General features: G+C 40.3%; 1 protein-coding gene across 2 annotated transcripts in view; it reads right to left on the bottom strand.

Moving 5' to 3' along the window:
• GABRG3 (gamma-aminobutyric acid type A receptor subunit gamma3) overlaps positions 1-22,339 on the bottom strand; it is a 570,804-nt gene that overhangs the window by 39,077 nt on the left and 509,388 nt on the right. The window contains exon 6 of one of the 2 annotated variants that reach the window (NM_033223.5): positions 22,121-22,258. In NM_033223.5, coding sequence (NP_150092.2) covers positions 22,121-22,258 — 138 coding nt within the window. Of the gene's footprint in view, positions 1-21,570; positions 22,259-22,339 lie in introns of those variants that run through there. The other variant, NM_001270873.2, reaches the window with a different exon arrangement.

Here is a 22,339-nt window from a genome sequence, read left to right as displayed (position 1 = left end):
CTCACCCATGTGCGGATGCAGGTGGCGCACCCCAACTCCATGGGGAGGGAAGCTCCTGCCCTGAGACCCTTCCAGACCTCGCCCTACGTATCTCTTCATCAGCCTGGTTATTTGTATCCTGTTAAATATCCTTTGTAATAAATTAGTAATCTGAAATAAGTATTTCCCTGAGTTCTGTGAGCCATTCCAGAAAATTGATCAAACCCAAAGAGGGGGTTGTGAGAACCCCAACTTGAAGCCCGTTGGTCAGAAGCTCTGGAGACCTAGACTTGGGACTGGTGTCTTAAGTGTGGGGTGGTTTTAAGGACAGAGCCCTCAACCTTTAGGATTTGATGCTATCTCCAGGTGGAGAGTGTTAGAATTGAATAGGTGGACACCCAGCTGGTGTCCCCTGCAGAACTGATTGCACACTTCAGATCTGGGGAAAAAAGCCACACATTTGGTCACAGAAATCTGTATTGATTGTTGCTGTTGAGTGAGGGAATAGGATAAAGCACTTTGAGTGTGTGTTTTTCCAGCTACAATTACCACTGGGGCAAATGAATAAGGATGCATGGGATCTCAGTATTTTTTCTTACAACTAAATTTCAATATAAAATCATTTTTAAATAAAATCATTAAACAGCCTATGGATCAAACAATAAATCAAAATATAAGCTACAAAGTATTATTCATTGAATAACAATGATATTGAATACAAACACTGAATGAAAATAAACTTAGTTAACATGATCCATGGTTGTAATTTAGACTTCATGTTAAATTTGATTAGCTTCTTTGACCTAAGCCATCTAATTTTTATTGTCTACACATTACACACTCTCCTACCTTGAGCTTGACCTTACTTTTAGAGTGTTCTGATGCTAGTGATTGTGGCTTCAGTCCTGGGAGGACTCACCTTGTTACTTGGCCCCTATGGGTTGAGATCCCTGATAGCCAATGTGTGAGAATGCTTCAACATGGGTATGCAAGACTCATGGGGAAGGAAGCAAGTGCTGTCCCCTAAAAGCTGTCATTGTCTCAATATCACATCCCACACTCTTCTCCTGCTTGTAGGTGATTCCAATATGACAAACCAGAGGTGTACCTGAAATGAAAACTCTTTGTTTCTCATCCCTAAGTGTTCAAAGGTGCTTGCACACAACCAAACGAGACAGAACTTGGACTCAGCTATAAATACCTGAAGGATGCAGAAGATGAGGAGAGCCAGGCTAAGATGTTTCATAAGCATATTTTCCTTTGTATAAATCCGCTCAGATCGTGTGTCCTAAGGCTTCAGGATTTTTCATGGGTGATGGAATCCATTCAACTCAAGAGTGAGAGATGAGCTGTCAGTTAGGAGACCTGACTTAAATGCAGTAGATTGCAGGAGACTGAGCCTCATTTGGAATGGAACTTATTATATCTGGGAGAAGGGCTTAAAACATCTCTGAGGTGACTGACATTGAGGCTCTAAAAGGCAGCCTCGAAGACTAACCTGATGCTCGTTTCGTCCCATAACTATCTGCAGGGAATATTCCAGGAAGACTTGTAGAGCTTGCTTAGAAAAGAGTCTGTTCTGGTTACATCACTGTGGTTGATGTCTGTGCTCTTCAGGGACAAAGGTGTTAATCTGCTTCTACCACCCATTTCAACATTTAGAAACATACATTACTTTGGCCGGGCACGGTGGCTCACGCCTGTAATCCTAGCACTTTGGGAGGCCAAGGTGGGCAGATCACGAGGTCAGGAGATCGAGACCATCCTGGTTAACACGGTGAAACCCTGTCTCTACTAAAAATACAAAAAATTTGCTGGGCGTGGTGGCGGGCGCCTGTAGTCCCAGCTACTCGGGAGGCTGAGGCAGGAGAATGGTGTGAACCCGGGAGGCGGAGCTTGCAGTGAGCCGAGATCGCGCCACTGCACTCCAGCCTGGGGACAGAGTGAGACTCCGTCTCAAAAAAAAAAAAAAAAAACATACGTTACTTCCTATTTTTCTCAGACAGCCTCCCCAGGCTAAATCTAACGTCATCTTTTACCTTTCCATTCCCCCTTATATAAGATTCCTGGATTAATTTTTTTTTTTTAACAGCAAATACAAATTACACCTGCAGGTCACTAAAAATATTAGAAACTTAGTGATATGATGAATGCAGATGATCAGACTGTGGTACTGAACACTGCAAAGTTTGCACTCACTTAACTGATACAACAGGGGAATGTATCCTAAAATAAAAATAAATGAGAACATGGAGTAGGCTGGATACATTTTTAGGACTAAATTAGCAGGTGGGGCTTAGGGAAGATCCCAACAGGAAAGGCGTCTTAGGGGCTGGGAATATAAGGGCCTGCTTTATTTAGCACGTTTACGTAACGTCTGGCTGGTGCTGGGCCTTTGCCCACAGATCCATTCCTCACCTCTCTCTTGCACCACTCTGTACCTTTCGAAGGTTGACAGGTGCGGCTGTTTCTGCAGCTCCCCAGTGCATGGCTAAGGGAAGTCGCGGTGGAGTCGCGGTGGGAAACGTAGCTGACAGCGTGGAGCAGGAGGGAAGTCAGGGCGGTTCTCCTCCCCTTCTGCCTCGGGCTGTGTGTCGGGTGCTGTCTTGGCTTCTGGGAGCTGCTGTGAACCGGGCCTCTAGCAACAGTGCCTGCTGCCTCTGTCCTACCAGGCTGGGCATGAGGGTGCTTCCATCCTTTATCATCTCTGGGGTATCTCACTATCCCCTGTCTTCCCTGCCCTTCAGTTCAGCCTTGAATTCCCTGCATTCAGTTCCCTCGTGTTCATTTCCTGGTCACTCTCTGCCCAGCTCAAATCAGCTGATAACGTAAAGTCCACTCCCCACGCAGAGAGAAATGAGCTTGCTTCTCTGAGTGCTGCTCTTCCATGCCTCCTTGCTCTGTGTGTTCCAGACACTGACCCTCTTTTTGCAGCGGGGACACACTGTGCATCCTCTGCCAGGGGACTTGGCTCTCAAGCAGCCCAGCTGCCCAGAGTCACCTGTTCCACCAGGTCCGAGGCAGCCTTTGCCTGGCAAGCTCCTCCCATCCTTTGGGTCTCAGTTTCAAGGTCTCTTTCTTGACTCCTGGGGTGAGCTCAGGCTCCCCATCCACATCTGCTTATGGAGAATTCTGCCTGTGGGCTTTCCTCGGCCCCCAGAACAGGGCCTAAGCCATGGGAAGTACCAGCACGTGTTAGCTTTGCTTTTAAAATGTGCTGAAGTTGTAGACATTGTGTGACACTTTTCAGGCTTTTCAGAATGAGGTGAGTGAAATTTATGATTTGTATTGAATTCCTTCAATAAGAGCTACGAGCTTAATTGATGCTCATGCTTATGGCTTATCAAATATTCTCAGAACTGTACTGCCTCTTACTCCGACATAAACATTTCCATTAAAACAATAGCTTTATATCAAAAGGGAGTTGGCTGCTGAAAACAAATGCAAGCCTAATCCTCAGACTGGGGCTGGACTTTTTTTAAATTGAGTGTCCTCTTGCCAGGGACTGCATTGTTTATAGTTAGTGATTTGTCTTGCTATGTGGCGCTATTGTTTCAATAATGGGAGATCTGAATGGACAGGAGGGCGTCAGGAGGCCAATCTCCCCATGCACTGTGTTTTGTTTCCTGAGACTCCTGGGGAATTTTTTGTCTGAGATCGATAAGTGCTTAGAATAAGAACAAAGAACCACTTCATTGATCTGAGTTTTCAATATCCTAGAATTAGTCTTATATCTTTGTATCAAATTAAATCCTGAACATTCTAAGAACTGTTTTAATTTGTAATTATCAATATGACAAATGCATACCCCAAGGCATATGAGGTTGGTTATCTTGGGATGCCGAAAACACCGCCCTTAGCACCACTGCAACTGACGAGGTCTGCTCCGTGAGAAAGTACTGATGAGCAGATATCTTCTTCCCACATTACAGCCAAAGGCTGGACTAAGCGCAGCCACATCACAGAAAAGGTGATGCTTGTCGTGGGAGTCAGAGACAAGCCTTCTGGACAGAGTGGCGGACAGTCACAGTGATCACCGTGAAAACTGTAAAGCTGCCATCTTTCTGATAAGACTTATGATTCAGCTTTCCAGGAAGTTGGAGTCAAAGATGAACCCACATCTGGCCGGGCGTGGTGGCTCACACCTGTAATCTCAGCACTTTGGGAGGCTGAGGTGGGTGGATTACCTGAGGTCAGGAGTTTGAGACCAGCCTGGCCTCAAATAGCCTGGCCTCACGGTGAAACCCTGTCTCTACTAAAAACACAAAAAGTTAGCCAGGCATGGTGGCGTGCACCTGTAGTCCCAGCAGGAGGCTGGGGCGGGAAAATTGCTTGAACCTGGGAGGCAGAGGTTGCAGTGAGCCGACATCACGCCACTGCACTCCAGCCTGGGAGACAGAATGGAACTTTGTCTCAAAAAATAAATTAATTAATTTAAAAAAAAGATGAACCCACATCTAATGGAATTGGAGTTGGACGTCACACACAATGACCAAAGAAGTAAAGGAGAAAATGTTATGCAGAAGAAAATAAAAACAAATGTTACAATCAATCACAAAGCTTTAAAATCAGAAAGAAACAAATAATTTAGAAGCAGAGAGGAGAGTTCCCAGCCTTCTCCCGAGAAGCCAGACTAGCTATGGAAATGCAAAGTGTAGCGTAAAAGCAGCAAACACTAGTCTCACAGTCTGAGGGAAGAAAGGAACAGACACTCCATGCCAGGTGGTGGAGGGAAGGAAGAAGAAAGAAAGAGGGAGAAGGAAAGAAACAGAAGGAAGGGAACATGGATAGGCATATCACATATATGACAAATCAAGACATAAATCCTAAGAAAACACAACTCAGAGAAAAGGAAAGTGACTTCCCTGAGTTTATTCACACAGTAGCATAAGAAAAGAAATGAATAATTTATAAAAATAATTTAAAATGAAACAACAGAATGAGACAAACAGGATATGCTGATTGCAGACCTAAGTAAACAAACTTGGAATCAAAAACCTGTTGCAGATGATTACCTTTGTCAGAAACATTGAGGAATGAAGAAACAATGGTGAAGTTTCAATGATGGACCTGGAAGAAATCATGGTGAATGTAGCACACACAGGGGAAAATGGAATTAAAGCCATTAGAAGTAAGACAAAAATATGAAAGCCAGAAAGGCAATCCAATCTAAATTACCTGGTGTTCATAGGGTAGGAAACACTCATATGAAACACACAACATATCAAAAAATATCATACATAAAACTCTACCCTAATCAAAGAAATAGGAACACCAAATCTGCCAATTAAAATAATACATACTTTTCTGAACTCCGAGTCATTTTCACATTTAAGCTTTTTTAAAATAAAATTTTCTCATTTAAGAATAAAGAAATTTAGGCATTCAGTAAAATAAGGCAAATTTTTTCCAAGGCGAAAGCATGAGTTTGGCCTCCAAGTTCTCCAAAACGATAATCAAGGTCTGAAGACACTAGAACAATGTCTATAAGATATTGCGGGAAAGACACTGTGACTCAGTCAAGGTATAATTAAAGAATCAATACATGGGCAGACATTCTCAAAAGGAAACAAATTCTGGAATACAGCACCCGTGAGTCTTTCGTAAGAGAAATTACTTAAAAATAAATCCCACCCAAGTTAAGAACTCAGAGAGGAAGGAAGTATTATATCAGGAAGCACAGTAATCACTGAATTCACTTAAATATAAACCAGTGCAAAACAACCTTGGAAAACAGAATTTTAAAAGATAACTTGGCATTTATAGAACCTAACAATGAAAAACTAATAATGTAAGCACTAACTAGCCATGAGGGGGATACTGATGAGAGGAAATCTGAGAGTGACCGTGTCTGTGGGAAAGAGGACAGCAGCCTCCTGCATCTGGGCTATGGACTGGTGCAATGGGCCAGGGCTTGGTGCTGCTGAGACCTGGCCTGGCACTCACAGATAGACTTGGTGTTTTCCTTTTGAGCATAAAATTTTCACAGAACATCATCATCAGACAAGGATATTTTGTGACCCTGATATATCAAGACCAAAAGAAGACCACTTTATCTAAACAGAGACAAAGCATAAACATTGTCTAAGCCACAAGAATCACCAAACATTTTTCTACATCCTGCCATGTGAGTGGCTGCTGCTCCTCTACTGATTACAGACTCAGCCTTGGCCTCGTCTTCCCTTTTAGATATGATTTATTATGATACCCAAGCATACAATTACCTCTTTTTTGGACATTTGCTTCTGAGAAGATGAAGTCTACATACTTTACCCTATCCACTAAGTTAAATAAAACTAATAAACCTACATATTTATATGAAATAATCATAACGCTTCGAAATGTGGAGAAGACCAACTAGGGACTTTGGGACCCGAGGAAAGACATGAAGATTATTTCCCTGGGTTGTCTTTTTGCATCACATAACCCAGAATAGGGGCTGAAAAAGCCAGCAACCTGGAAGCACCAACAAGTACAGACCAAAAAGCAATGCCCAACAAAGGCTGATTCTCTCTAGGTAAAGACACAAGAAAGTGGCAGCCTCACACAACAGAACACTTCAGACAATAATCACCCGATTCCAGCCACACATCCCAGAAAAAGCCTGTGGCCTCAGCCTCACTCACTCCTGCCAAGGCCAAATAAGGAAGCTAGGCTTGCCCACTGTTCTGTTGTAATGTGATCCCCCAACTCCTCCACTAGGGCAGCATGAGAGAAGCTCAAGAGAGGACCCAAGACTTCCATACCTGCCAGATGGCCATGAGCGCTCCTGGCACGGTGTCAAATCCAAACCCCTCCAAGCCAGAGTGGCATCAGCAGAGGCCTAGTGCAGAAATCAAATTCCTACCTCTGCCCAGAAAGACCAAGGAGCACCTCACCCATGGAGTATCACTGAAGGCCAAGTAGGTAACCTGGACTTCTACCCCCACCTGCAAGTAAGGAGACAATGTCCCTCTCCTCCTCACTAGAGCAGTGTCAAAAGAGGCTTCATACAACATTTTAGAAAGATTCAGAGCCTAATAGTAAAACATCCAAAATGTCCAGCTTTCAATAAAAAACAGTTTGCTAAACATAGAACAAGAAAGGGACAATCAACAGATGCCAATACCAGGGTGACAAAGATGTGAGGAATTTTACATGAATTTTTAAAGTCGCCCTCAAAAAATGCTTTCACAAGTGATTACAAACACTTCGGAAACAAATAGAGAGTCTCAGCAAAGGTATAGGAGACACAAAAATAATCAAAGGAAATTTTAAAATTGAAATGTATGATAAACAAAATTAAAAATTCAATGGATGAATTGAACATGAATTGTGTTCTCCTCAGAACACAGAGGAGATCAGTGGAAAGAATTATACAACAGACTTTCCTTGTCTTGAGTCTTCTAATTTATGTTGATAGTTGAAGCAAATATTATAAAACTGTTCAATGTGGTTCTAAATGTATGTGTATCCAAGAGAACTCAAATCAGGATCTCAAAGAGATATTTGCATACCCATGTTCACAACAGCATCATTCACAATAGCCAAGAGGTGGAATCATCTCAAATATCCATCAAAGCATGAATGAATTTTAAAAATATGGCATATACTTACAATGGAATATTATGCAACCTTAGAAAAGAAGAAAATCCTGTCACATGGCTACAACGTGGATGAACATCCAGGACGTTATGCTAAGTGAAATAAGCCAGGCACAAAGGGACAAATACTGTATGATGCCACTTATATGAAGTATCTAAAGTAGTCAAAGTCATAGAAAGAGAAGGTAGTAAGGTGGTTCCCATGGGTTGGGGGGAGGAGGAATTACTGTTTAGTGGCTATAGAAGATGTAAAATGAGATGTGGCTTCTACACTACAATTAAACTGATAAAATGTCCATACTAGTAGAGTGTGAAATAAAAGACATCAAACTGTGTGGGATACAGCTAAAGTAGTGCTTAATGAGAGTTTTATAGCACTAAATGTACACTTCAGGAAAGAGGAAAAGTCTGAAATCAATAATCTAAACTCCCACTTTTAGAAACCAGAAAAACAAGAACAAAATAAACCCAAATCAAGTAGAATCAGGGAAACAATAAAGAACAGAAATTAATGGAATTGATGACTCAGAATGATATAGAAGAAAAACAAGAAACAAAGAGATGATTCTCCAAACTATCAATAAGATTAACAAACCACTAGGAGAACCGGCCCCCCCAAAAAGATAATAGCAAATTGCCAATATTGGAAATAAAACAGAAAACTACAGATCTTGTAAGGACATCAGAGGGATAATCAGGGAATAGTGTAACAACTTCTCAAACATAAATGTGGTAACTTAGCTGAAATAAACCAATTTATAGGAAACGACAAACTGCCCTAGTTCACTTAATATAAAATAAGGCATTTGGATAGTCTTATAATCATTAAGTAAAGTGAATTCATAATTTTAGAATTCCCGACAAAAAATCTTCAGTCCCAGATTATTTCCTAGAGAATCCTACCAAACATTTAAAGAAGAATTAACACCAATTCTACACAAACTCTTCCAGGACGTATGAGAGGAGGGAACACTTCTCTCTTCATTTTATGAGGCCAGAATTACTCTCATAAATATTATTTAAAAACTCTCAACAAGATATAAACAAATATCATCAAATTGATACAATATTAATATTGAATTGATATTAATGTTGTATTGTTAATAATATTAACAATATTAATATTTTAAGAATTTTGCATTAATATTTATAAGAGTAGTTATACCCTCAGTAATTTATAGACATAATTATTTACAATGACCAAATGAGATTTATTCCAGGGATTTGAGGTTGGTTCAATATTTGAAAATCGATCAATGCAACCCACAATATTAACGAAGAAAAAAATCATATGATCACATCAAATGATAAAGAAAAAGTAGACAAAATTCAACATCCATTCTTTTATAAAACCAGAATAACCACAGCTTCCTGATAAAATCCAATCGAGAGCCAAGCCTTAGTCCCTCAAACCTTCCATCCAAACACCTAAGACCTACAATAATTCCTTTATTTCCCTCTTACTGAGGTGCCCCACGGTTCCCCATGGTATGTGTTCTTTCACCGCAACAAATAATCATCCCAATCAATCAACTGTCAGTGTGTTCTTAACAATCTCTGGCTGGTAGGTATTGGCGTTACTTCATTTTTCATAGTGTTGAGACTATCGATTCTGTCTAAAATTGAAGAATATAACTAATAGTTATCTCTGAATCTTTTAAAAATGTTTTTAACTTCAGAGCAATCTTTCAGATAATAATATATTTCTATCTCTGAATCTTTAAAATTGTTTTTCTTAACTTCAGAGCAGTCTTTCAGAAAATAATATATTTGTTGATTAAAAAACCCACTTGTTTGAAGTTTTAATTCCTCTATTTCTTTTTTTATTCTAATAGAATCCAGAAAAATCCCATTTACTTTTTAAAATAACATCAATCGTACAAAATTGTTATCAAACATTGCTACATTTTCTATCTGCATACTGGTCTATGAATCTCTCTGTGTGAATTCATTGAAGATTATTTTGAAAGCTATCTACCTGATATTAGCTGTGATCTTTACTAGGAGATAGAATTTAAGTTTTTTAAAAAAAAAATTCTCATGTTTATATTTTTCCCCACTTTTGAGATTTTTTTAAAAATATGAAATCGAGTCTATTGTATGGAAAAGAGTATGTCTCATGTTAAAACAAAACTCTGGAAACATATGTACCAAGATATTAACAAAAACTGGTGGAGATGCAGATTTGTTGTTTTCTTCTACGTATTTTTCTGTGATTTTAAAGATTTTTTAAAGCAAAATTTTAAATCATTTGGAATATGCATCAATAATTTAAGAAGAAAAGCATTATGGAGATATGAGAGAAAAGCCACCACTACTATTTTGTCTCAAGGGTATTTTTTATCTTGGTGCATCTCCACACCCCAATACAAACACATAAAACAATACAGAAGATTTTTATACAACTATTTTTACCTAACATTATATTATGAGCATTTTCTTTTTCAAAATGACTAAATCTTTCTTAGTCTTCTTATTCAATACAAATTGTTGAACAGCTTGTGAATTGAAGACACAGAATCTCATAGATGGCAGACAAGTTAACCAGGAAATGCAGGGCCTAAGGCCAGCCTTTACACGCACAAAGTGAGTGCACAGATGTCGGTCAGTGGTTCTCTCATCAACACAAAGAACAACATGAATATATGTCTTGAACAAATAGATGTTCTACTTTATAAAAGCAAATCTGCTTATGAAACAAACAATATCACTGCATGGAATCAGCAGTTATTTTGAAGATTGATTCCCTGGAATACACTGGGGCCTCCAGCTTAGTTAAAATGGCAGAAAGAAAAAGAAGCCCTGTGCTAGCCAGAGGCTGGGACAGGGCTTCCAGGCTCAACTGCTCTCTCTCCTTAGACTTGCCCCGGATCCCACAGCCAGGGCTGGCAGCTGCTGCAGTCACCCTGGGCTGCATGCCTAGCCATCTTATGATGTGCTGGGAGCAGCGCATTAACTTCACATCATCTTCAGATTCTTTTGAAGTGAGACTTAAACCAAGACCAAAGCATGCTTTTTATGCTCCTTTTATCTGTGACTTTATTACAGAAGAAATAAAGAGCAGTTGGAATGTGCCCTCTCTTTCTACTTGACACATACTCAGAGAGCTGTGATGAATTCTAAGCCAAGTCTGTGGCTCTAAGTCCTCATTAGAATTGGGGGCTGGCTAGCTACTTTTTAAAAAGAGACTTTGTTCTAAGTTGAGCATAATTAGTCCTGACAAATGGGCTAATCACAATGCCGTGCAATTCTGGATAAACTCCAAACCTCTAGAGCTTTTTGTTTTGTATTGATAAAACAAAGGCTTTTGGTATGAAAGACCAATAAATTACCCCAACGTGGTTTGATAACAAGGCTTTGATAAATAAAATTACACAAGTCATATGGGATATGACTAAAAAATTAATTCTGTAAATAACAGTAGCATTGGGCATATGGGGTAATAAGAAGAAAATTTAGAGCGATGCATACTGCCTAAATAGCCCGCATATTTGAAGTACGACTACAGGGAGTAACAGAGGTGACTTTCAATGTCCTCGTAATTCTTCAGTGAGGCTTTTCCTCAGACTCCTTTTTGTTTGTCGGTTTTTTGTTCTGATCACACTTTTTTACTGGTAATTACTTCTTTGAGGAATAGACATTTAAGCATTACGTGGACATATAATTTTTACATTTTATTGTCCTCATACTTAAATTTTACCATAAAATACTAACTGAACACAAGTATATACTGGTCTTACGGCCAATCAGCAGATGTTTGAAATCCAAAGATTAACGGATGGATAGCTTAAAGGAAGTAATAAAACAAATATCAACTGTAGAATCAAGGTGGTAGTAGAATTTTTTGGTTTCTGTATGATGACACATGAGGTGATACTCAAGGAAACCCCCTACGGACAGGAAGAAAGATGTAAACTTTGAGTTGTGATTACGAGGAAAACCCTAGCCAGGACTGGACTGGGCTGCCTGTCTGAGGCTGGGAGGTGCTTGGCTGGAGCATAGCTGACTGCGTGGCTTCTCTAATTATGAATTTTTCTTCCCTGGGAAGAGTAAGTAGGTTGACTGAATGAATGTTTGGATACCCTCTGGGAAGGGGAGCCCCGAGGCCACTGAAGGCAGGGGCCGCAGTGTGGGGCTGATGCTGTGCCACTGAGGGCTGAGGGAGCTGGGCTTGCATGCTTCCACCCAGACCAGCGTGAGCATCTCAGTAGCACAGCAAGGAAGGAGGGCATGAGAGCACCCCTGCCAAGGGCCAGGTGCTTGCAAAACGACTGCATTCCTGCATTCCTCTCATGCGTGGTGTTCTGATAAATGGAGTGAGTCTCCTCTTGGTTTAGAGCAAATCAAAAGGAGAAGGTGAACTACTAAGTCCAATGTAGTATGACTCCGACGACAGACATCTTCAATGGCCACAGAAATGCGGCAAGAGCAGTGTGAAGGGGGGGTGGTGGTGGGGGTGGTGGCAGGACAAGGGCCACACGTGGGGCCACACAATTTCCATGCTCCTGTCTCTGTCAGTTGTTTAGCAAATGAGTCTAAAAGATAAATATATCTTTATTTGTTATGGAGAGCGAAGTGGGAACTGAGCAACATCCGAAGAGCAGTGCTGTTGTCCAGGGAAAGTTGGGGTCTGGAAGGAACTATTTTGGGTGCATTCAAAATTTCCTGCACAGAAGTGTCTGATCAGTGACAACCAGCTGAAATAGAACCAGTAAGAAAAGTTTCATTGGACAAAGAGGAAACGCACCCAGGTTATCTAATTGACGGCTACTGTGATAATAATGGTAGAGAGAGATTGACCCTGGCTGGCAAAAGCTTCGTTATCTCAGGAAACAGGCCTGCATTTCTTCAGATTCTGTGTTGACTAAGATGGAAAATGGACGTCTGGCCAAGAGTCTTCAGGTGAGCTGGATGGACATCACCTATGTAAGCTCCTGACTCCCCAGGGGACTCCTAAGGAATCAATTCCCCACCTAGGCAGCCAGCCTCCAAATAGGTCCACAGCATCCCTTGTCTGCACAGAAGCAGTGTGGACTTTTAAAATCTGAATCCTGCTGAAAGCACTCAGTACTTTCATAGAAAACGAATTTGTGGTAAGCTACATGCCTGTGTGAGTTTATAAAAATAAATATCAACCAACTAAAATCAATCTGCTCTGCCCCTTTCAAAAATTTTGGTTCATTTATTTGTATCCATATGGCAAAACTAGGCTTATCTGAAAAGTACATAAATGGTGTTGGGAAAACTGGCTAGCCATATGCAGAAAACTGAAAATAGACCCCTTCCTTACAACCTTTAACAAGAATTAACTCAAGATACATTAAAGACTTAAGCATAAGACCTAAAACCATACAAACCCTAGAAGAAAACCTAGGAAATACCATTCAGGACATAGGCATGGGCAAAGACTTCATGACTAAAACACCAAAAGCAATGGCAACAAAAGCCAAAATTGACAAATGGGATCTAATTAAACTAAAGAGCTTCTGCACAGCAAAAGAAACTATCATCAGAATGAACAGGCGACCTATAGAATGGGAGGAAATTTTTGCAATCTATCCATCTGACAGAGGGCTAATATCCAGAATCTACAAAGAACTTAAATTTACAGGAATAAAACAAACAACCCCATCAAAAAGTAGGTGAAGGATATGAACAGACACTTCCCAAAAGAAGACATTTATGCAGCCAACAAACATGAAAAAAAGCTCATCATCACTGGTCATTAGAGAAATGCAAATCAAGACCACAATGAGATACCCTCTCATGTCAGTTAGAATAGTGATCATTAAAAAGTCAGGAAACAACAGATGCTGGAGAGGATGTGGAGAAATAGGAAAGCTTTTACACTATTGGTGGGAGTGTAAATTAGTTCAATCATTGTGGAAGGCTGTGGTGATTCCTCAAGGATCCAGAACCAGAAATACCATTTGATCCAGCAATCCCGTAACTGGGTATATACCCAAAGGATTATAAATCATTCTACTATAAAGACACAAGCACACGTATGTTTATTGCAGCACAGTTCACAATAGCAAAGACTTGGAACCAACCCAAATGCCCATCAATGATAGACTGGATAAAGAAAATGTGGCACATATACACCATGGAATACTATGCAGCCATAAAAAAGGATGAGTTCATGTCCTTTGCAGGGACATGGATGAAGCTGGAAACCATCATTCTCAGCAAACTAGCATAAGAACAGAAAACCAAACACTGCATGTTCTCACTCATAAGTGGGAGTTGAACAATGAGAACACATGGACTCAGGGCGGGGAACATCACACACCAGAGCCTGTCGGGGGGTGGGGGGATGGGGGAGGATAGCATTAGGAGAAATACCTAATGTAGCTGACAGGTTGATGGGTGCAGCAAACCACCATGGCACGTGTATACCTATGTAACAAACCTGCAGGTTCTGCACATGTATCCTAGAACTTAAAGTAAAATAAAAAAAATTTTTTAAAGTCCCTTGTTGGATAAATTTTAAATAATGAAACTATTAATATAAACAGGAGTGAAGTGTAGCTACTAAAATATCAAAACAATATCTTCACTCCTATGTCTCATTAATGCTTCCATATTAATTTTTCTAAGATGACAACTAAATATTTGCAAAGGGATATATTTATCCTTTAGACTCATTTGCTAAACAAATTAAGGGTCATTTTCTCTTCCAAACATTCAAGTACTTTCTTTGAGCTAATTATTTTGCTAGCTCCCTGGGATACCAACAGGTGGATTCATTGGGAAATGTGTAAAATGAATGCCAGACAATGATTGCTGTCTGCTTTGAAGCTCAATCCTCACAAGGTCCTTATCTCTGAGGCCGGCACTAGAATTGTCTTCCCCATTTTGCAGATGAGGAAACTGTGTCTCAGAAGTAAGACAATGCATCCAAGATGACAGACCTTATGAGTGCAGGCCTGGAATTTAAACCCAGGTAGGATGGCTCCAGCATCACATTCTCAACCTCCGTTTTCCAAGTCCTCCTTGGTTACAATCACAGTACAATGCTATGTGCTAAGTGTCACTATGGGGCAAAATCAGGGCATTATGGAAGTAAATGGCTGTCAACCTGTCTTGGCCTTTGAGGGACGTGGGAGCGGCTCCTGAAAATGGCCTCCTGGAGGAATGACATCAATGCTTAAAAGCCCAGGGACTACTAAGTTATCCAGGTGGGCTGGGAGGGTATGGGAGTGTGGCATGAGCGCTTGCTAGGATGTGGGCAGGAACAAGTGCTCCAGGAGCTTCAGCTCAGGCGTCAAAGGCTGTTTGGCTTTTATCCAGTGCAGGTTTCTCCTGGCGCATTCTAGAGTGCTGCGCTCCACAGCTATCTCGAGGCTACAGGACGGCTCGCCCTCGCATTTCATGAACTAAGATACTTTTAAGATTCAGTTTGTCATTTGCGTCATGGGATAGTGGCCTAACTACCTTAAAGGGTTGTAGTGTCATCAAAAAAGCATGTAAAACAATGAGTGTTCCTAAGCATCTTCAGCATGGCGATATTCCAGAGAAACAGTTTCCAGAGCCCTAAATCTCAACAATAATGTACTTTTATAGATAATTTTAAATCATCCTCCTCTCTTATGTCATGGTACAGATTTAAGACTTTCCTTCTGATCAAATATTGGAAGCAGTAATATAATCCTACAATGGAAAAATGATGATATAAAATATCATCCATGCCAGGGGATGTACTGTTTGGTATATACAGTCCAACACTGGATAGATAAATAAAATGTTCTGGAAACCGGGAGTCAGATACAGGAAGTCAAATTAACTCTTTGTGGCCCTGGCATCATGAAAAAGCCACTGGCCTCAGAATGAGAGGGTCTAATGCTAGCTACAGTACATATTGTGTGGACTGCTGAAGGCCATGCCTGAGATCTTGCTGAGACTGGTTCCTCATCTATAAATAAAGGTATTGGCTCATGTCCCACCTTGCTCAAAGTATAGAGCGAGAGCCAAATAAAAACCATAAAATTCTCTTATGTAGAAATATTACTGTCATAATATATTAAATGTTATAATTTATTCAGGTCCCATGGAAGGAGTAATTAATTAAATCTGATTTTAAAAGAACAGACATATTCAGATATGATTTGTATCACAGGATTTCAATTTTCTTAGCAGACGAGCAGTTCATTAGACCAAGAAGAGGTTTTTTCTGCATTTCCCGTCTGAATTAGAGATGGAGGATGACTCACAGTGGGTTTGAAAGATTTTTCACTCAATCTTGTGAACAAAGATACTGACACTATTTTTAAAATTATGACTTTCAAACCCAGACTGATATATTACCCAGATTGCATTCAGAAAAATATGACAAAAAGCCAAGAAGAAACCACTTCTTGAATTTCTTCTACAAGAGCTATTTAAACATATATTCCTATTTGCATTCAAGATATAAATCTCACTATAGCATCCTGTTGGAGCATGTCTCATTGAATAAAATGCTGGCAGCTGGTTTAGTGGATGATTACTAAAGAAAGACAATGCGTAAATCTCTCAATTCTCCTCACGGGAACTACATTGAGTCAATAATAATAGGCAATATTTGTATATATATATTGCAATTATGTACTTGGCATGTGTTGATTCACCTAAATTCACAATACCCATATAAAGGAGAAGGCAGTTTCCCTCTCACTTATGAGAGGAGTGCGTGGATGGGTCAGAGGAATTGCCCAAGGTCACATAGGAGGTAAGTGGTGCAGATATGTTCAAGTACAGTGTGGTCTGACTCTAGTGCTGGAGCTCCTGCCCCCTGTGCTCCCTCCCTCCCAGTGGGCACTGCTGGAGGAAATATATGTATTTTTTAATTAGCTGGAATGTTAAACACACAGTATCAAAAACTTCATATATAGAATACTTTTTTTGAGTTTGGAGAATTACTTACAGAAGCTTCTACACGTAAAGACTGAATCAACTTCAAAAACATCAGATGTCCACATCAAGCCATGTGGCTTTTGCCATAGCCATGCGAGAGCAGCCTTTCTCCTGATTGTTTTGACTATAATAACTAGTCTCTGGGGAAGCCTATTTGTGGTCTTATAATAAACCAGGCACCAGAGGGAAAGCTCCTAGTGCAATTAATCTGGAGCCCCAGGCTTCTTCCTTGATCTCTTCCTCTGACGTCAGGGAGCCTTTGCCAGGATCACTTCCACTACAAAGCCGCTTCTAAGCGTGCTCTGAGCCTGACCCGAGCACCCCTCAGTTTGCCATAAGTATGCCCACTGCAAAGCAGCCTTCACATTTCCAGTCCTATCTCACAAAACCTGCTGTGGGTAAGAAAAAAACGCTGCGCATTCTACCCAAATTATTTTAGACAACTGGACTCAGGTTCAAATAGGCATTATGGGCAGCCTTGATATGGCAAAGATATGGATTAACCTGCAAATGTCATAAAGGTTTTACACAAAGGAGAGAAGCAGCTTGCTATAGAGATCATAGAGTCAATCTCTTTCTCTCTTCCTGTTTTTCTTTAGCCTGAAAACATCACTATTTCACCATTATTTTTATTGGCTTTTTAACAGAAAATTCTGTTTCTTTTCACATTTGGAATTCCATTGTCTTCTGGTTGCCATGATTTCTGGTAAAAAGTCAGATACCTGTGTTATTTTTGGGTTTTGATCATTTGGCAACAGTGCACTTTTCTGTATGAAAATCTGTAATAAAAAAATTTATTATCCTTCAAGGGGAGCCCATCATTCTCTTTTCCAGGCCAAAGATTGGGACTAATCACCTTAATGCCATCAGGGGCTGGGGTGACTGAAGGCTGAGCTGTAGTTTAACAGGTTTTTCAGTCTATTTTGCACTTGCTGTACAGATAACTCCAGGGGCTCTAGCTCCAGTGGCATGCTCACCGTGACGCCCCCTCCTGGTGCAACCTCAGTGATGCTCTTTCCTTATCTTGCCCTCCCTGATAGAGTCTGCTTTTCAGACCCTTTCTCCTTGTTTTCTTCGCTTTCTTCTTTTCACAGTTTTGAAATTCAGAAAATGTCTGGAGTATAGAGTCCATTTGCCTTTCCTTCCTTTCTCTCTGAGATAATGGCTTATAGGTATTTTAATTATTGACTTTCACTGATGCGCCAACCCAAGAGGATAACTTTCCATAGCCACCTTCTTGCCAGACTCGTAAGGTGGATTTTCATCGCATCATATGCATGGCACATAGGATCACCATCTATAATCACTGACCATGTTCACCGATCACGTGGCCAAGTGGTGTTCACCAGACGTTATCCCCTATACATGTCCTTCCTTTGTCTCCTCCTGCGCTCTTTGGAAGAAAGTCACCAGGTGCAGCCCACAATTAAAGAGTGGGGGCTATGCCCTACCTCCTTGAGGGAATAACATCCACATAAATCATGTGAAATTCTGCATGGGGGATTTATCTGTGTTCTCCCATGTTTGTATGTATTTATTCAATCATTTATTTGCATCAATGTGGCCTCATGGATATTTATTTTATTCTTGGGTTATAATCCAATACTACTGTATTTATCTTGCTGCTCACATTTTTAGCTTTGACCATTGTGATATCTTTTAGTTGGCGTCTGTTGATATAGCCCCATGATTTTGTGTGTAGGTGGCTGGGTGTGAGGTGAGTGTTTAGCATGCCTTAGTTTCTGGAACTGCAAGATTCTCTAGGCTCATCTTGTATATTCACTGCTGCAGCCTCACAATCTGCCACTTCTCCAAGGAGCCCTGGTTCCTTTAATTGGAGAATGATATTAGAAACCAAGATCTGGGCACTAAGGGTACTTATTGCTCCTGCAGTGTTGTTGCTCCTAGGACTTCTCAGCTGACAGAGCAGGAAATATACGTGTGTCTATCAACTCATACATGTATGCATATCCATATATATTTAGCTTCTTTTTAATTAATAACATTTAATGAAAACCAAAGCTGAACATCTTGCCATCAGCCTGTTTCCGATAATTCCAAGGTACACTTCCTTGAATTCGCTGCAGGTTATTCTCAGTGTCGGTAAGCCTACAGATATTTTAAATTATCAGAATAAAAAAATGTAGGAGGTTTACTTATTGCAATTGGTAGATAGATATAGATATATAGAAGAGATAACAAAAAGTCTCTGATTTGCTGGGCGCAGTGGCTCACACCTGTAATCCCAGCACTTTGGGAGGCCCAGATGCGTGGACCACCTGAGGTCAGGAGTTCGAGACCAGCCTGGCCAACATGGCGAAACTGCGTCTCTACTAAAAATACAAAAAATTAGCCAGGCGTGGTGGCAGGAGCCTGTAATCCCAGCTACTCGAGAGGCTGAGGCAGGAGAATTGCTTGAACCTAGGAAGTGGAGGTCGCAGTGAGTCGAGATCGTGCCATTGCACTCCAGCGTGGGTAGCAAGAGTGAAACTCCGTCTCAAAAAAAAGAAAAAAAAGTATGTGATTTTTATTATGCATGGTGGCCTTTGGCTAGTGCAAGGGAAAGGTCAGCTGCAATTGTCCTTGGAGAATAGCTGAGGAAGGCATAAAGACGGCAGAGAGACTGTTCAAGACCATCAGTAACATGACAAAGCACACTGCTGTGCCAGTCAGAAGTCTTAGTACACTAAGCTGTGATCCCATTTGAATGTGATTTCTATACCATCCACCAGCTGTACTCATTAAGTTAGCCTAGCCCAATGCCTTCCAAACTTCATCATCATCAGATTCACCCAGAGGGGGAACGCTGACACCTGCAAGGAAGTCCAAGTAAAAAGGATGTGTCTGGGACAAGGGAACGCCTCATTTCCCAGTGCAACTGAAATGCCACTCCTCACAAAGTGCTAAACTTTCTGGGTTACTGCCACGGGTTAAATTGTATTCACCTGAAGATGTTAGAGTCCTAACCCTCAGTACCTGTGAACATGACCTTATCTGGAAATAGAGACTTTGAAAATGGTTAAGTTGAGGTCATGAAGGCAGGCTAATCCAATATGACTGGTGTTTCTATAGAAAGAGGAAATGCAGATACAGGGATCAACACCTCCAGGGAGAAGACAATAGAACAGAATTCACTTCCTTGAATTTGCTGCAGGTTAGAAGGACGTGGAAAGAATACTACCTGCAAGCCGACGAGAGAGGCCTGGAGCAGATCCTTCCTTCACGGCACTCGGAAGATGCCAAGCCTGCCATCTTGATTTTAGACTTCCAGCCTCCAGAACTGAGAGACAACACGTTGTTTCTGTTGTTTGAGCCACACAGTTGGTAGAACTGTTAAAGTAGCTCCAGGAAACTAATTCAGTGACTAATGTTTTTGAACAGTCTTTGTGCATTTTAAATAAACATATTTAATATATTACATCCAAGTCTCAGAATGTCATAAATAATATTTTTGATATTTATGTTATCCCAATAGAGAAAAATGGGTCCAGTCAAATAAATGCAGCTGTTTAGGGCTGTGCCCAAAGCATGGCGGGGCCAGAGTGGCCACAGTGAGAAGATGGTGGGAGGCGATAATGGACAGAGACCACCTCACAGGGCCTGGACTCGGCAATGCACCTGCAGGCTTCACATCTCTTTCTCCTGATTCTGAGGTTTCCCAAAGTGTTTCCATTTCACAGATAAGTTCCCTAGTAGAATTATTTACATAAGCTTGAAAACTTGGCACAATCATATCCATCCTTTTCAAACTTTACAACGACTTGTGAGAACCAAGTAGACAGTGTTGCAAATGCTTTATTCTTGGAAAAAAGGGATTATGTAAGTAAGTGTGTTACTGCCATAGTCATAATGTTGAGTTAGGAGATTGAGAAACAAGGAATAACATTTGCCTATAAAAGGGCATTTATCTGAGAGGGATCCTTTAAAATGCCAACACAGTCCCATGAGTGATCCTCCACATTGTGAAAATGTCAATCATTTAGCAAGCAATGGTGTTTCATGAATATTCATTAAACAGTGAACTGTTGACACTTGAATTGATGCTGGATATGGCCTGAAAAGCACACACGCAACAACACACCCCAGCTGCAGGCAGGGCGTGACTTCTCATGCTTGTGGGCTACAGCCACCATGCGTCCGTCCCGAGCGTATGAAATGGGAATTTTTTTATTATCCAAAGGACATTTTCCTTACAAGTGTAATTATACAAAAGATTGAATGTGGTTGTAAAACTTATTAAAAATATGACTTTAGAGATTGATTATAATTTCGTTAAGAGCCACAGTAACACCTAGCACAAGAATTGTTCAGACTGTTGCCTCAAATCTGTTGTCTCCTTCTATTTGCCACTTTTCTGAGCTAGTATTTGCTTGCAATCAGTTTCAAAATCCCCTGAGTTAGTTGGGTTCAGCTTAACTTTGCATTTCCTTTTGTTTTGAGAACACCAGGAAAGGCCTTTGGGATTTAAATGCTAGAGCAGTCCTCCCTGCTGCTTGGTGACTCCCTTCAGGCGGCCTTAGACCCCAAAGGTCTGCTGGTACATTGCAGCCTCTAAGACAGGGAATTACATTACTAAGGTAGGTGCCTCTTAATTGGGAGCAAGCATCCCAAAACGTTTCCCTTTGCGCTGCCTCCACAGTTCATTTAAATAAATTGTGGTGTTCCATTATTTAACATCGTCATTGTTTAATATTTAAACACAGATCCCATTTCTCAGATTTTCTACCATGACACTCATAGAGAATCTTTTGTTTTTCTCCCTTAATCAGGTAACTTTTTCAGAACTTTTCTTGATGTGTCAATAGCTCTCTATTTTACAGTTGCACCAAGAATTAAGACTGGGCTTTAAAGATATTTACAATTAATTCTCAAAACTGGCATCTTAATCTAGTCACCCATAAAATAAATTATTAGATAATTTGAAGACCCAACAAATTCTTCATACTAACAAATAATATCAGTAGAAAAGCTGACTCTACCCCCATCTGCACCCCACACCCTACCAAAAGAAAATCAGTTGTGAAATAGTGGACCCTAGGAATAATTAAATACCCAAAGCAAAAAACAACATAAGACATAAGACAAAAAGCAAAACAAAACACATTCACATATATTCATAGGCAGAACAACTCTTTTTATTTAATTACAGGATTTTGAATATGCATATAATGATCACTTCATAAAATCAAATTGGTAGGTAATTACTTTCAATCATTGAAAAAGAAACTCAAAGTTAAAGATAAAACTTAGAGTAAATAAAAGCAATTGAAACTCAAAGGACATATCACACCAGCTTCTTTTATGTGTGGATTCTCAATAATATTTGATTCTTCTTATGTACGTGGAAATTTGCAGAACTCTCCCCATCAGCAAAATTGGTTTATGTAAATATGGTCAGTAATGAGTTAGGTTAAGTTTATAGCTAGGTTTATAGACATTATGCAAACACAGCCTGGATTCAAAAATATGAATTATTTCTAACATCCCTCTCCCATACCAATTAAAACATGAAAACATAGTTTCACTTTGAATCACTTGTTTTGTCTCAAATATCACTTATGTATCATGGTTGCCCAAAAGGCTTGTACATTAAGGATATGACTACATATGGCCTTAGGCCTCTCTGGCTTTTGAGAGCTGTGCCTCTTTCAGTAAATTCCTACCTGCAGACGTTGTCACGATTTCTGTGGTGTTTCTGAGGCCCATGAAGTCAAACTGATAAAGCCGCCATGATTTCTGGTCAGCTGCCTCCACTGAATTTTTTCTCCATCTATAAATCATTTCTTCTTTGGGATAGCCATCTAAAAACACAGAGCAAACATTAGCACTTGAAGGTACACATTTATAAATCATTAAAGTGAAAATTATAATTCTGATCAATG

This window comes from Homo sapiens, chromosome 15 (genome assembly GCF_000001405.40).
Source record: "Homo sapiens chromosome 15, GRCh38.p14 Primary Assembly".
NCBI lineage: Eukaryota > Metazoa > Chordata > Mammalia > Primates > Hominidae > Homo > Homo sapiens.
Note: the sequence above shows the minus strand (reverse complement) of the source record. Positions and strands in the feature narration are given on the sequence as shown.